Raw genomic sequence first — 15,140 nt, 5'->3', positions numbered from 1 at the left:
GCACTTGAATTTCCCAAGATAAGTTTCTTTATCTCTTATAGTTTGGATCATAGTAAACGACGTGTCAGCAGCCACCCATGTTCCCATGAAAACTTACTTATCTTCGTCATTTTTCACTGAGTCTTTGGCTGAAGTACATTAGTGTTATATAAGCCTTTTATATACTTGGGCCCTGTGTTGAACTTTTAAAATATTAAAAGCTGCTCTTCCGTAAGTATTGTTTTCTGCTTAGAGTTTTCCACAAGACTGCCTTAATTGCTTATATTAATGAAGAAAGCTATTTTTAAAAACATTTGTACAGTGCTTAACATTGTTTTATAAGTCTTTTAGTGTTTTATTATTTAATTTCCATTTATATAATTGATAATCAGGCTTTTTGTATTTCTCTCTTGTTAAACTTAATTCCCAATTTTCAGAGGTTGTTACATTATTCAATTAAAAGGAGATAATACTGTTTATTAGTAAAGGTGGGATATTGTGTCTACTTGGTACATTTTACACATCTATTAAACATACACATTTTCCCAGTGACTTCAGCATGGCTTTGGAGTATATGTGGCCATTATGTGCAGGGCAATGACTAATAGAAAGACACCAACACATACAGATTTCTTTAATGAAACTAAAGGATACTACAGCTCATTGGCATAAACATAGCTGCAAGAGCAGAGACACATTGTATGCTTTCAGTCAGGCAAGTTTCCTGGCTCCCAGTTCTCAAGAAGGCATGCGGTTAAAAATGATATTGCTTGACACCCTTGAGAATACCATCAGGCCTTTCTGATCAACTCACTATCCTATTTTCAAGAATCTTTATTTCCTCTTGATTCATCATAATGAGTTTGGGGGAGGTGCCCATCTACCTTCTCACCAAATATGAGTCAATGAAAATAACACAGTCCTTACTCATTTTCATGAATTGAGTGAATCCAAAGTCAGTTTCTTCAGCAAATCTCTCATAGGACAGCAGAAAGACCTTAGACCTAGTTAAAGTCCAGTGCAGGAAACTTTTGGAAAGATTTTCTACTTCCCAAGAGAATATCAGAATCAATGCTACCAAATAAATACTGAATGTTTGAGTTTTGAACCAAAACTTTTATTCTATTATTAGAAGAATCTGTTATATCATTTTAATCTTAAAATGGCTAAATTTTAAGAAGGATAATTTAACTAGAGTTGGATTGTTTTAAAAATTTCATCGTGACAAACCTGACAACAAGCAATGGGGAAAGGATTACCTATTTAATAAATGATACTGGGGAAACTGGTTAGCCATATGCAGAAAATTGAAACTGGACCCCTTCTTCACACCTTATTAACAATTAACTCAAGATGGATTAAAGATTTAAATGTAAAACCCAAAAGTATATAAACCCTAGAAGAAAATGTAGGCAATACCATTTAGGCAAAGATTTCATGATAAAATTGACAAAAGCCATTGCAACAGAAGTAAAAATTGACAAATGGCATCTAATTAAACTAAAGAGCTTCTGCACAGCAAAAGAAACTATCATCAGAGTGAACAGACAGCCTACAGAGTGGGAGAAAATCGTTGCAATCCATCCATTCGAGCAAGGTCTAATATCCAGAATCTACAAGGAACTCAAATTTACAAGAAAAAAATTTACGAGAAAAAAAATTTAAAAGTGGGCAAAGGACATAAACAGATACTGTTCAAAAGAAGACATTCATGCAGCCAACAAACATGAGAAAAGCTCAGCATCACTGATCATTAGAGAAATACAAGTCAAAACCACAGTGAGATACCATCTCATGCCAGTCAGAATGGTGATTATTAAAAAGTCAAGAAACAACAGATGTTAGCAAGGTTGCAGAGAAATAGGAACACTTTTACACTGTTGGTGGGAATGTAAATTAGTTCAACCATTGTGGAAGATGATGTGGCGATTCCTCAAAGACCTAGAACCAGAAATCCATTACTGGTTATATACCCAAAGGAATATAAATTATTCTGTTACAAAGATACATGCACACATATATTCATTGCAGCACTATTCACAATAGCAAAGACATGGAATTGACACAGCAATCCCATTACTGGGTATATACCAAAGGAATATAAATCATTCTGTTGCAAAGATACATGCATGCATATGTTCATTGCAGCACTGTTCACAACAGCAAAGATAGGGAATCAACCCAAATGCTCATCAATGATAGACTGGATAAAGAAAATGTGGTATATATACACCATGGAATACCATACAGCCATAAAAAGGAATGAGATCATGTCCTTTGCAGGGACATGGATGAAGCTGGAAGCCATTATCCTCAGCAAACTAATTCAAGAACAGAAAACCAAACACCACATGTTCTCACTTATATGTGGGAGCTGAGCAGTGAGATCACATGGACGTAGGGAGGGGAACAACACACACTGGGGCCTGTCATGGGGTGGGATGGGAGGAGGAAAAGTATTAGGAAAAATAGCTAATGCATGCTGGGCTTAATACCTAGGTGATGTGTTGATAGGCGCAGCAAACCACTGTGGCATACATTACCTATGTAACAAATCTGCACAACCTGCACGTGTACCCCAGAACTAAAAATAAAAAAGTAAAAAAAAAAAATTCAGCATGAAAAATCATAAGAATTATTTGTAATTTTTTATAGGCTTTCATTTATATCCCTGTTGCTGGATCCTTATTTAATGTTTTCTGTTATAAAATTAGTGATGCATTTGGAATATATGTCATTTTTATTTGATAATTTTAATAATCTTTTTAATAGAGTTAATTGGTTATTTGGTGACAAATAATTTTTAAAAGCACTCACTGTATTGGAAATGAAATCATTTGAAAAATGATTAGAGTTTAACCATAACTTTCTTACATATGTGCAACAGTCAGACAATATAAAGGAAATAGATTCTTTAGGATCCCGATATATTAAATACTGTGAAATAAATTAAGGAATGTGTGTTTTTTTCTACATAATGAAGAAAAAAGTTTAAGATTCCAGTAATAAATGTTAGAACAGAGTTTAACAGAGACACCACCTCCCTTCCCTTTTTGTTGAATAGAAATAAGATGAAAATGTCTGTTTTCTTTGTGTTCTAACAGATAACATAACATCTTGCAAAGCTGCAATAATTAAAACAGGGTAACTCGGCTCAGGAGAGATCTGCAGAACATAAAGCTCAAAACCAAACCCAAGTTTATATAATTTTATAAATATATTTGATTTCTTACCCAAATGAGTTTAGGACATGTGGAAAATTAAAACTGTCATTTCATATCACTATCGACTTTCAGACAGGTCAAAAGTGGGCACAAGTTATATCTAGTGCTCTAGCTACTGTAAGAGACCATGGAAATATACAACCTGTTGAGAAGGCAGGGCAGGAGTGAGAAGGAATATATGTTACAGTATAATTATTTATTATCTAAAATCTCCTATTAGAATAGAAATCCCAAGGGGATAGGGACTTCGGTTGCTCACACTAGAATGTCATCTCCACATAAAAGGTACTCCATTTTTTTAAATGAATAAAATGTGCACGTTCAGTTTTGTATCCTCCCTCTTTTTCACTTTATATCATGCATGGTTTTATGTTGCCATTATAGCCATCATTATAAAGTAGCAAAATAGTTCATCACATGCCCCATAATTTACATAATCATTCCCCTAATATTTTATATTTATCTTGCTTAAGTGTTTACTGTTATACATAATGCTGTCATGAATGTTTCTGCTTAGACTCTTTTTAATACTTACAATTATTTTGATAGGATAAGTCCTTAGAAATAACCTTACTAGGTTAAAAGATATGAACATGTATTTTGGCTCCTGATACAAATTTCCAGTACCCTTTATTTAATAGCAAATACATAATTAATGTCAGTTATTTCAGTTGGTATATGAATTACCCTGTGTTTTCAAAGCCAGGAAGTCCTGCTGTTCTCGTAAAGGTGCTTTGTAGATTTTTATTCATTCGAACATTTACCTTGGAATTCTGAATCCTCATAAATAATACATTCAGAGAAGTGGAGAAAGGCAATACGTTTTGAGTCAACACAAAATGACAGCAAGATAATGTATTCTTTTGTCATAAAATATTGAGAAAATGGGAAGACAATAACTGGTATTAATTACCGACAGGGTTTAAATATGCCAATTAAGTAGAAAATAAGGAGATGTCTTGGTGAATATTGAAGGTAGGCCTATTGTCTTCTTTCCTCTTTTCCTGCCTTTTTTTTTTTTTTTTCCTTTGTTGAGTGGGGTTTGGGGAGGCTTGTGTTTTTAATTTATTCATTCTAGAATTTATGATTTTTCTAACTGTGTCTTTTCAACTTTTATTTCCCAAAGAAGAAATTATCAAATTGGTGCCAATTTATGCCTGTATCGTGGAATGTTGGGATTTATATTTTCTTTATAAGAAAGTTTCTTATTTATTGTTTCTTATAAAGAAATGATAAATCCCAACTTTCCAGGATACAAGGATAAATATTTATAAATAACTATTTATGCACCCCCTTAAAATTGTACATTTTTGTTGAATGTCAGTAAAAGCTTTGTCTTCTGGCCTGCTGCAGTCAGGATCTGCTGGTATTTTTGTGCCTCAGCTTCTCCTTTGCCTGAGAACACGTTATTTAAGCCTTCTTCATTTCACAGGAGGTGTTCGTTAGCATTTCCTCCCCTTGACTCAGAAGTCCTAAACCTTGTAAGTAGAACCTCCGGCCATAAATACAATAATGTACCCATAATGGAGAATTTTTTTTTCTTTGTGAGCACTCATGGAAAACTTAGACACACAAAATCTGGAAATTAAAGCCCATTTCAATTATTTTACATGATCAATATTATGCAGGCTATGCTATCTAATCTGATGTAATAAAAATAGAACTTAATAAGAAAAAGGAAAAGATATATATAGAGAGAAATTCTAAATCACACCTGTAAACAGCTGAATGATAGTAAAAATAGCACTTTCTAAATTTATGGGGTGCTGTAGTTAAAGTGTTTAAAGCAAATTTATAGTCACAAATGCTTGCCCGGAATGGAAGAAAGGCTTAAAATTAATGACCATGCATTCAACTTAAAATTTTAAACAGCAGGGTTAAAATAGATAAATTAGAATAATGTAGCAAAGAGCAGAATGCAATAAAATAAAAAACATGAAGTAGAGAGGATTGTCAAAGTCAAGTGACAGGAGTTTGAAAAGAACAATAAAAGTGATGAACCTCTGTTAAGTTTAAAAATGGAAAAAAGAAAACATTAAGAATGAAGAAGGACATAACAGATGCTATAAGGATTCAAAGATGAAAAAATTTACAACTTTGTATAAGTACTTTTGAAAAACTTAGATGAAATAAATAACATAAAACTTAGTGCTTATCAAAATTCACTCAAGGAGAAAGAGAAAACCTGAGTAATTCTGTAGCTACAACCAATAAAGAAATCACTTCATTAGCAAGTATCTTCCCATACAGAAATATCAGGTTTGAATAGCTTAATAGGTGAGTTATAGGAACAGATAATTATCATTTTTTGACAAACTCTTTCAGATAATAAAAATATAGCACTTTTCAACTTATGCAATAAAACCAAACATGGAGAATACAAAAAAGTAAATATACAGGCTAGTCTCAATAATGGACATTATATAAAAGGCTAAATAAAGTATTAGCCTACTCATTCTAGTATTTTTTTTAAAGTTTATCTCAAGAAAGGAAGACAATAGAGTAATCTACTATAATTACAGATTATTTCAATAAATGTAGGGAAATGTTTCATAAACTAGAGCACTCATTTCTGGATCTTTATATGTGTGTGAGTGTATGTATATATACACATATGTTATATACATATGTATATGATGTGATGTATATGATATGAATATACATATGCATATGTATATGATGTGATGTATATGATATGTATGTTATGTATATGATATTGTTATGTACATGATGTATGTGTGTTAGGATGTCTGTTATATATGCTATTGTGAGGTATATGATATGAAGGACATATGTATATACGTATATACACACGTACAATATCTCCTTCATATATAATTGTGATATATATTTTTTATATATTATGTATATATCATATGCATATATTACATATATATACACACACATATATTCTGATATATTTATGTGTGTGTCTAATAAATATGGGAATTTTTTTTACCTATAAAAGACTACTGAAAACCTAGAGCAGTTATCACACTTAAAGGTAAAATGCTGAAAATATTCCTTTTAAGAAGAAATTCAAGGGAGTGATAAATATAAAATTCAGGATGCTAGGTACTTCAGAGTAGTGACGGTGGAGAGGAGAGGAAGATGAGACCAGGGGCACACAAGGGCTTTCCTAATGTTCTAGTACATTCCCCATCTTAACCTGAATGGCAGGAATGTTGGTTTTCACTTTATCATTATTCTTTAACTGAATCTCATTTTATGGACACTTAAAATATATCATTGTATAAAAATATTTTAATGCATAAATGAGAAATGTGCTATGGTGATAAATATTGTAGAATAGTTTTTGAATATACTTGTCTGTGAAGGATCAAAGGTAAAAGATAGTTCTCTGGAAGTTCATGGAACCATGAGTGAGCAGTTTTTTTTTTTCCTCCGCATTCATTGTTATTTGTCTTATTCTATCCAGCAAAGTGGAATTGGGATGCATTTCAGAAGGACCAGGTTCAAAGACAAAGTTCACTTTTCTCTTTGAAGAATCATGTATTGCAGGAGGTTTGGGAATTAAAAATGAACATGTAGTGTAAATAGTTTCAAAGGATTTTGAAATTAGAGGAAAAAAATCAGTGTAATACATGGAAGTTTTATGGGGAGGATTTTAAAAAGCAAATTCTATGGAAACCTATTAGACTGTTTCTATATGACTATCAAAAATCTTTTATTTCAGTTATAAGAGAATGCCTCCCAAGGTTATTAGTCTTCTAAATTTAACCATGTGACACTGAATTTAAAAGGGTATGTCATGAGAATTAGCTCCCAGGCTGTTAACCACATTGCCTGACTATATTCAAGGCTTAAGATTCCAAACACTAAACTGAGAATTTTTCTTTATGCCTTATTTTGGTTCTGAATCTATTTTTGTTTTTATTCCTATTTTACCATTGCTTTATGTAAACCATCTTAATTATATGAAATTGCAAAAAGTCTCTTTGCTAACCCCATTCTGGAAGTCTAAAATAGAAATTAAGCTGTTTTCTTCCCTAATTGATTCTTCTCTTCCCTCTGGCTTATGATATTTCAAAAAAAAAGACTGCATCTAGATGCCAGTTTCTTCAGTCATTGAAATGGTCTCTGCTTTACTGTATACATTTATTATAAATGCTGTGATAGGAGAGGAAGGCAATCACAATTATTTGTTCAATTTTTATTATACCTGCTTTACTGAGTTTTCTGTATGTTGTAAGCTCTCCGAATGAGATTTATAAAATAAAATGTAGACAGCTCCGTGAAAATGGTGAATTGTTTTGTTTTTTCAAGACAGCATAAGAAAATTGATATTTATTTGTTGTTTTATTTTTAACATGATCTGTATTTTGTTAAATCTCATTTTTTTCTCTGGTATTTTGCTCAATGGCATCTTCTTCATGCTGTGCTGAGTCTCATTGCATCTGATCTCTCAGAGTTGTGAGAAATATTGATAAGATTTTTTAATATCAGGTGTGTGCCAGTTAAGTTTGTAAATCAGGTAGAATGAACTGGTCTGCAATAAAGGCAAGATGCTATTAATTAAGAGATAAGCCAAGAAAGCATGTTATTTTGTTGTGATGATTTCAAAAGCCAGATGTCTACAGACTTATTCCCTTCCTAAGAGAATGTAGTGGGAAATTAACTACAAAACATTCAGATTCTTATGATGCATATTTCTTTCTTTTTGGCAGGAGCTTCAAAAGTCATATGAAGTAATAGATCTGAGATAATTATGCTTACTTTAAAAAAAGATAATGTTTAATAAAGACCTCTCAGGTGGGGTAAAGTCTTTAGTATATAAAAATCATTTTCTGAGAAACTCTCTCTTACGTAAACAAACCCTGAGCAATTTTCCCAGCTGCCAGTAAAAATGGTGCTATAATTTACATTTGAATTAATAAAGTAATAGATTTCAATAGCTACAACTATATTGCTTTACCTTAACCTAAATTCTCATAACATGCAATTTTTTATAGTCCAACATGCTAATTTTTTGAATAGCTGAGTAACTATTACAAGCTGTAAAGCTTATTGTTCTTTTCCTTCTTGATTGTGCCATCTGCTAGAAACAAAAGCAAAGATAAAAAGCTCATTGAGCACAGAAGATTCTGTATTTAATTTGCCTTCTATGGAGACACATCTCCTTGGGGAAAAAAATAATGCTGCATTTTAAGAAACATTTTTTTTACTTCATTACAGATGGGGGACTCAAGGAGATTTCACCACCACCCATCCTCGGCCTGTGGTCAAAGTGAAACTCTTCACAGAAAGCACTGGAGTTCTGGCCCTGGAAGATAAAGAACTGGGAAGGGTGAGTTGTGGTCAGCCTGTGTGTCCAGGGTAGAACAGTTTTAACTTCTTTGGATTCATGATTAAGGTAGATCAGTATGCCATATGTGAACTTTATGTTCATAAATTACATAAAATAATTTGTTATTTCCCACAAGCCCAGTATACACCTCTAATTTATTAAATCTAATTGTCTATAACACAGAAAGTATTGTGATAGGATTTGGTTGTGTAAGGGGTAAATACAAATTCCTTGTCACCAACTCAGTCATTCTCACACATGTGCTCCACTGGCCATTGAATGTGAATGGTGCTGGCCAACTTGCTCTTGGTGAAGGGTAATTCTCATGTAACATATTTTTGTCCCTGGGTTCAAAGGATCATCTTTATATTTGAAATCATCTGCTCTTCATGTTCATTGTGATTAATCACAGAATATCTCCGAAGTGCATCTGTCTCTCTTATCTTTTCCACTTTCCCCATGAAAAGCCCTTTTTCTCACACCTTTTAACATTATTCTTTTCCTATAGTCACCTCTTCATACCTAGAATATATATATGTTTACCTTCTAATCCCAGTATACCCTTACTATACTCAGCTTGTGCTGTCAGTAAAAGCATTAACATTAGGTAAATCTGTGTGAAAGGTCATCTTCAGACTTATAAATGAAGTAGGTGTTCTAATTGAGTAGTCTATATGAAGATGTCTTCTGTAATGTGAATTTTTTAATGGGTTTTTTTTTTTTTTTGAGACAGAATCTTGCTCTGTTGCCCAGGCTGGAGTGCAGTGGCACAACCTCGGCTCATTGCAACCCACCTCCTAGATTCGAGCGATTCTTGTGCCTCAGACTCCCAAGTAGCTGGGACCACAGGCACATACCACCTTGCCTGGCTAAATTTTGTATTTTTAGTAGAGATGGGGTTTCACCATCTTGGCCAGGCTTGTCTTGAACTCCTGACCTCAAGTGATCCACTCGCTTCAGCCTCCCAAAATGCTGGGATTACAAGCATAAGCCACCAACACCCGCCCTCTGTAATGTGAACCTATCTTACCTAGACCTGAAGACTGTATTCAGAGATATTTTCCAGCAAATAAAACCTTCAGAAATCTTACTTGAAAATTTCTGTCTGGTATTAATGGACTGCTTGTACAGTGCTAGATGCAAAAAGATGCTAGGATCATTCTGTATACTAGAAATTTTTTAAAAAACTGAAGTCAGGATTTCTATTAGTTTCAGACCCTTTTCTTCTACCTCCTTTATACTCTTGGAATTTTTCTATTTCTAGGGATTTGTAAGTCTGTATCTACACTCCAGAGATTTTGACTCTGCATTCATAATCCAGATTTCCTCTTCCATTTTATTGATATGTGTATTTGTTAATACCTAAGAGAGCTGTGTTACTGCTCATTCAGTCATGTGCTTACGTATTTGTGCATTTGTTTTCATTGAACAAAGGTGTGCAGGTAGCATAATCTAATACAAGAGCTTTGGAGACAACATATGGTCTTTTTATTAATCAGGGTTTTTCATTTAAACTATTATTATATTAATTTTAAGGGTAAAATTAATGTTACTTTTCTTATTGTAACTATATCTCACTGTTTAACAGCAGCCATTTTAAGTCTAATGCTATAAGTAATTCTTGAGCTATTTTTAATTTGTTTATCAGCTGGTCAAATAATATAGTTAAGCAGTTTCTAAATTGGATACATAAGTGACATATATATATATATATATATATATATATATTCGATGCAATTTTATATCTGAGAAACCGCTTATGCTCCCTTACTCTCTTCATACTAGAAAGACAACTTTTCTATCTATTACAGGGTTTCCCAACCTTAGCACTATTGATGTTTTGAGCAGGGTAATTCTTTGTTGGCAGGTGCTTTTTTGTATATTTTATGATATTTAACAACATCCCTAACCTCTAGTCAAATAAAAAATGTCTCCAGACATTGCTAAATGTCTCCTGGAGGGTAGTGCAAAATCAACCCTGCCTGAGAGCCATTAATCTATACTAATGACCTCAATAGGTTGGAAGATTATAAATATCATTTGTATCTAATGACTTACAAATTGTTACTATTTTTCTTGTAGATTCAGATTTGTGTATCCAACTTCCGTACTCAGTATTTCCAATTGTATATTGATATCTCAAACCACATATTTTTGTAATAGAACTTATGACTTGTATCCCCATAAAGCCTTCCATAGAGGCAGTTATTAAATAAGCCTGTGACCTAGACATCTCCCTTGTTTCCCCTTTTCTCACCCTAGCACCAGATCCATTTGCAACTTCTGTGAGCTTTTTCTGTATTTGTTCTGAATCCATCCATTTATTAATATCCCCACTACCCTAATTCAAAGCACCATCATTTCACATAAAGAGTCTGTTTACTATTTTCCCATTTACCACCTTGTTCTCTCTGATTTGACCTTCATACCTCAGTCACTATGATCTATTTAAAATTCAAAACAAATCACAACATTCTGTCCTTAAAATATTCCAATGTCTTCCAATTTATTTGGAATAAAAATCAGACTCCTCATTATAGTGTAGCAGGCCCGACAGGTGTTCTCAGGTGTGGCCCTGCACATTAGATATGCAAATTCTCAGACCCCACTCTAGATCTGCTGAGTCAGAAACCCCAGGGGTGCAGGGCTACCTTCTGTTTTAATAAGCCCTCCTAAAGATTTTAAGACACACCAAAGTTGGAGAATCCCTGATCTACATGAACTGACTTCTGTCTCCAAATTCATCTTCTGTTATAACCTCCTTGCCTACTGTCATTCTTTCCTTACACCGTGCTTTCTTTCTTTTCCTCAAACATTGTACACTCATACCTGCTTTAGACTTTAGGTTGTTACATGTGTTTTAATCTGAACACACATGTGCACACACACAATTGGAAAAAATTGGTGTTCGTCTCTGGATGGTAGAGCTACTGGTTTTATATATGTGTGTGTGGGTATATATATATGTGCACACATTACCAATAATGTATATTGTTGGTATACATAATGTATGTGTGTATATATACACATATTAAGTATATACAAAAGTATATACATAAATATATATACTTTTGTGTATATATATGTGTATATATATACACATATATATATCTACTTTTCTAATTAGAACAAATAACTTCTATTAAGTTAAAAGAAAAAACCTTACATGATCTGACATCTGTAGATAAAGTTTTATGAATAGTATATCTGGGGAGCTTGGTTTCAACATGAAGTTTTTTTAATTAAAAATTCGGGTAGCATTTAAATTTGAAAATGAACAACAGAGCACTTAAAATAGGTTTATACCACAGCAAGATACCACTGTACACCTACTAAAATGGCGAAAATGCAGAAAAACTGACAGTGCTTGTGAGAATGCAGAACAGAAACTCTTACTCATTGCTGGTGGCAGTGCAAAATTGTAGTCACTTTGGAAGACAACTTACCAGTTTTTTGTATAAAGTTAAACATAGACTTACTATACAATCCAAAAATTGTACTCCTAGATATTTACCAAAGGGTTTATGAAGGTTGTGTCAACACAAAAATCTGTGTGTGAATGTTTAAACAGCTTTATTCTTAATCACTAAAACTTGGAAGCAACCAAGATGTTCTTTAGTCAGCAAGTGAATAAAACCGTGGCACATCCATACAATGGAATACTATTCAATAATAGAAACAAGCTATTAATTAATGCAGTGGCATAGACGAATGTAAATGCAAATGGAAGAAGTCAAACCCAAAAGATGACATATTTTATTATTCCATTCATTCTAGAAAATTATAGGGGTAGACAACAGTTGCGAGTTTGCCAAGAATTGAGCTGAGGTGGGTTGTCAGCCAGAAAGGGGTACACAGGGGACTTTTAGAGTGAAGGAACTGTTCTGTGTGGTACTGTGTGTTATACGCAGTATTAGCCCATTCTCACGCTGCTGTGAAGAAATACCTAAGGCTAGGTATTTTATGAAGAAAAGAGGTTTAATTGACTCAGTTCTGCATGGCTAGGGAAGCCTCAGGAAACTTACAGTCATGGTGGAAGGCACTTCTTCACAGGGTGGCAGGAGAGAGAATAAGTGCAAGCAGGGGAAATGCCAGAAGCTTATAAAACCACCAGATCAGGCCAGGTATGGTGGCTCATGCCTATAATCCCAGCATTATGGGAGGCCGAGGCAGGGGGATCACCTGAGGTCAGGAGTTCAAGACCAGACTAGCCAACATGGTGAAACCTTATCTCTACTAAAAATACAAAAAATTATCCAGGCGTGGTGGTGGGCACCTGTAACCCCAGCTACTCAGGAGGCTAAGGCAGGAGAATCACTTGAACCCGGGAGGCAGAGGTTTCATGAGCCGAGATCGCGCCACTGGGCAACAGAGCAAGACTCCATCTCAAAAAAAAAAAAAAAAATCAGATCTCCTGAGACCCACTGACTATCACAAGAACAGATCAGGGAAACCATCCCGGTGATCCAGTTACCTCCACCTGGTCTCTCCCTTGACTTGTGGAAATTATGGAGATTATGGGAATTACAATTCAAGATAAGATTTGGGTGGGGACACAAAGCCTAACCATATCAGATGCATACTTGTATGTATTTGCCAAGAGGTATAGAACTTTATGTTACAAAGAATGTACATTAATGTATGCACACTAACATGAACACACACACACTTCCCTAATGAACACATCAACCAGCAGCATCAAAAGGGTGCCAACATAGGATAGAGACTGAGACAGATGAAATTAGTTGTACTCTACAGGTATGACATAGCTCCACTGAAAGGGGTGATGAGAAAAGAAACAGACCTCAGTAACCTAAGGGGGAAACATATGCTGCCAATACTCTCTTGATAACCAAGTGATGAAGATGACCACTACCACTGATGTCATGTGGATATCCTATGCTCTCTATTATGATTTGAGAAGGGACACTTTGCCCCTGTGGTATTCTTGCCCCAAAACCCAGGCTAATCATCAGACAAACATGGATTGGTGACATTATACAGGATAATTGGCCAGTACTCTTCCAGACTGTCAAGGTCATAAAAAAGAAAAGTGAGAAACTGTCACAAATCAGAGGAGACTAAGGAGACATGACAACGAAATGCAATATGCTGCCCTGGATTGGACCTTGGAACAGAAAGAAGGCATTGATGAACAAACTTGTGAAATCCAAATAAAATCTGGAATTCAGTTAATAGTAATGTGCCAATGTAAGTTTCTTGGTTATAACAAATGTACCATGGTAATGTATACTATTCATTCTGAGGGAAACTGAGTGTACAGAAAGTCTCTATACTATCTTTGCAACTTTTCTGTAAGTCTTAAATTATTCTAAAACGTAAAACGTCTATAGTGTTTATTATAAACATTTATAATAAAAAAGGCTTTTAAATATTTTATGAAATGCCTCAGCATATACTGTTTAAGAAATTAACATTTCTGTCCAGGTGCAGTAGCTCATGCTTGTAATCCCAACACTTTGGGAGGCCGAGGCAGGCAGATCACCTGAGGTCAGGAGTTTGAGACCAGCCTGGCCAACATGGTGAAACCTCATCTCTATTAAAAATACAAAAATTATCTGGGTGTGGTGGTGCACACCTGTAATCCCACCTACTTGGGAGGCTGAGGCAGGAGAATCGCTTGAACCCTGGAGGGGGAGGTTGCAGTGAGCCGAGATCGTGCCACTGTGCTTCAGCCTGGGTGACAGAATTAGACTCCATTTCAAAAAAAAAAAAGGAAAAGAAGAGAAAAGAAAAGAAAAAGAATTGAACATTTCCTTACATCACTTCAATTTCTTCATTACACCTAAGAAATTTAATATTGATTCAGAAATATGTGCTATGCAGTCAATATTCAGAGTTCCCTAATTATCCCAACATGTCAATAAAAGCTGGTATTCTCCCCCAGTCTAGGATAGAATCCAGGATCATACATTGCACTGGGCTGTTGTAGCTCTTCAGTCTCCTTTATTTTAGATGCTCCCACCACCTTTTTTTTTTACTTTTATTATAATGACATTTTTAAGCATCCAAATTAGTCTTATAAAATGTTCTTTATTCTGGATTAGAAAAATCCAGAATAAGAAAAAAATAAGACTATTTTTTTCATGACTGGTTTTAGGTAAACATCTTTGCCAAGCATCCACCTACATAATGTTTTGTGCTTCCCGTTGCATCTTATCAAAAGTTACAGAGTGACAGTTTTTTCTAATATTGGGGATTTTAATTAAGTATTATCACTTGGTTAAGGTGGCATCTGCCAGTTCTCTCCATCGTAAAGATATCATTTTCTGTTTTGATTTTAATAAGCTGTGGGGTGTTACTATTAGAGTTTCTCTAACCACCTTTCACTCAGTGTTTTAGCTAAAGATTCATAGATTTAAAAAAAATTTGTGTGTTATAGTCTGTGTCTGTTATTTTTTCATGATCAGATTGTGTCAAAGTTGTGTGTATGCATTTGCGTATGTGTGTTCCTTTACTATCTTCCTTTTCCTTTTTTAAAAATTTCCCCCACAGCACCAATATGTTTTTTTTTTCTTTTAAATCATGTACCTATTGGTCTTTGCTTTCTGGGACATGAAATTTTAGAGGCTCAACTTGTACTCTCCCTGCCCCAGGCCTGTTATTAG

The 15,140-nt window shown here is 34.3% G+C and overlaps 1 protein-coding gene across 29 annotated transcripts in view; it reads left to right on the top strand.

The window, feature by feature from the left end:
* Positions 1–15,140, top strand: part of CADPS2 (calcium dependent secretion activator 2) — a 568,050-nt gene that overhangs the window by 296,771 nt on the left and 256,139 nt on the right. For all 29 annotated transcript variants that reach the window (NM_001363398.2, NM_001009571.4, XM_047421032.1 and 26 more), the window contains one exon: positions 8,400–8,511. In NM_001363398.2, coding sequence (NP_001350327.1) covers positions 8,400–8,511 — 112 coding nt within the window. The remainder of the gene's footprint in view (positions 1–8,399; positions 8,512–15,140) is intronic.

The sequence above is a fragment of the Homo sapiens genome, chromosome 7 (genome assembly GCF_000001405.40).
Source record: "Homo sapiens chromosome 7, GRCh38.p14 Primary Assembly".
In the NCBI taxonomy this organism is placed as follows: domain Eukaryota; kingdom Metazoa; phylum Chordata; class Mammalia; order Primates; family Hominidae; genus Homo; species Homo sapiens.
The sequence above is the reverse complement of the archived record's forward strand: the minus strand, read 5'-3'. Positions and strand labels throughout refer to the sequence as shown.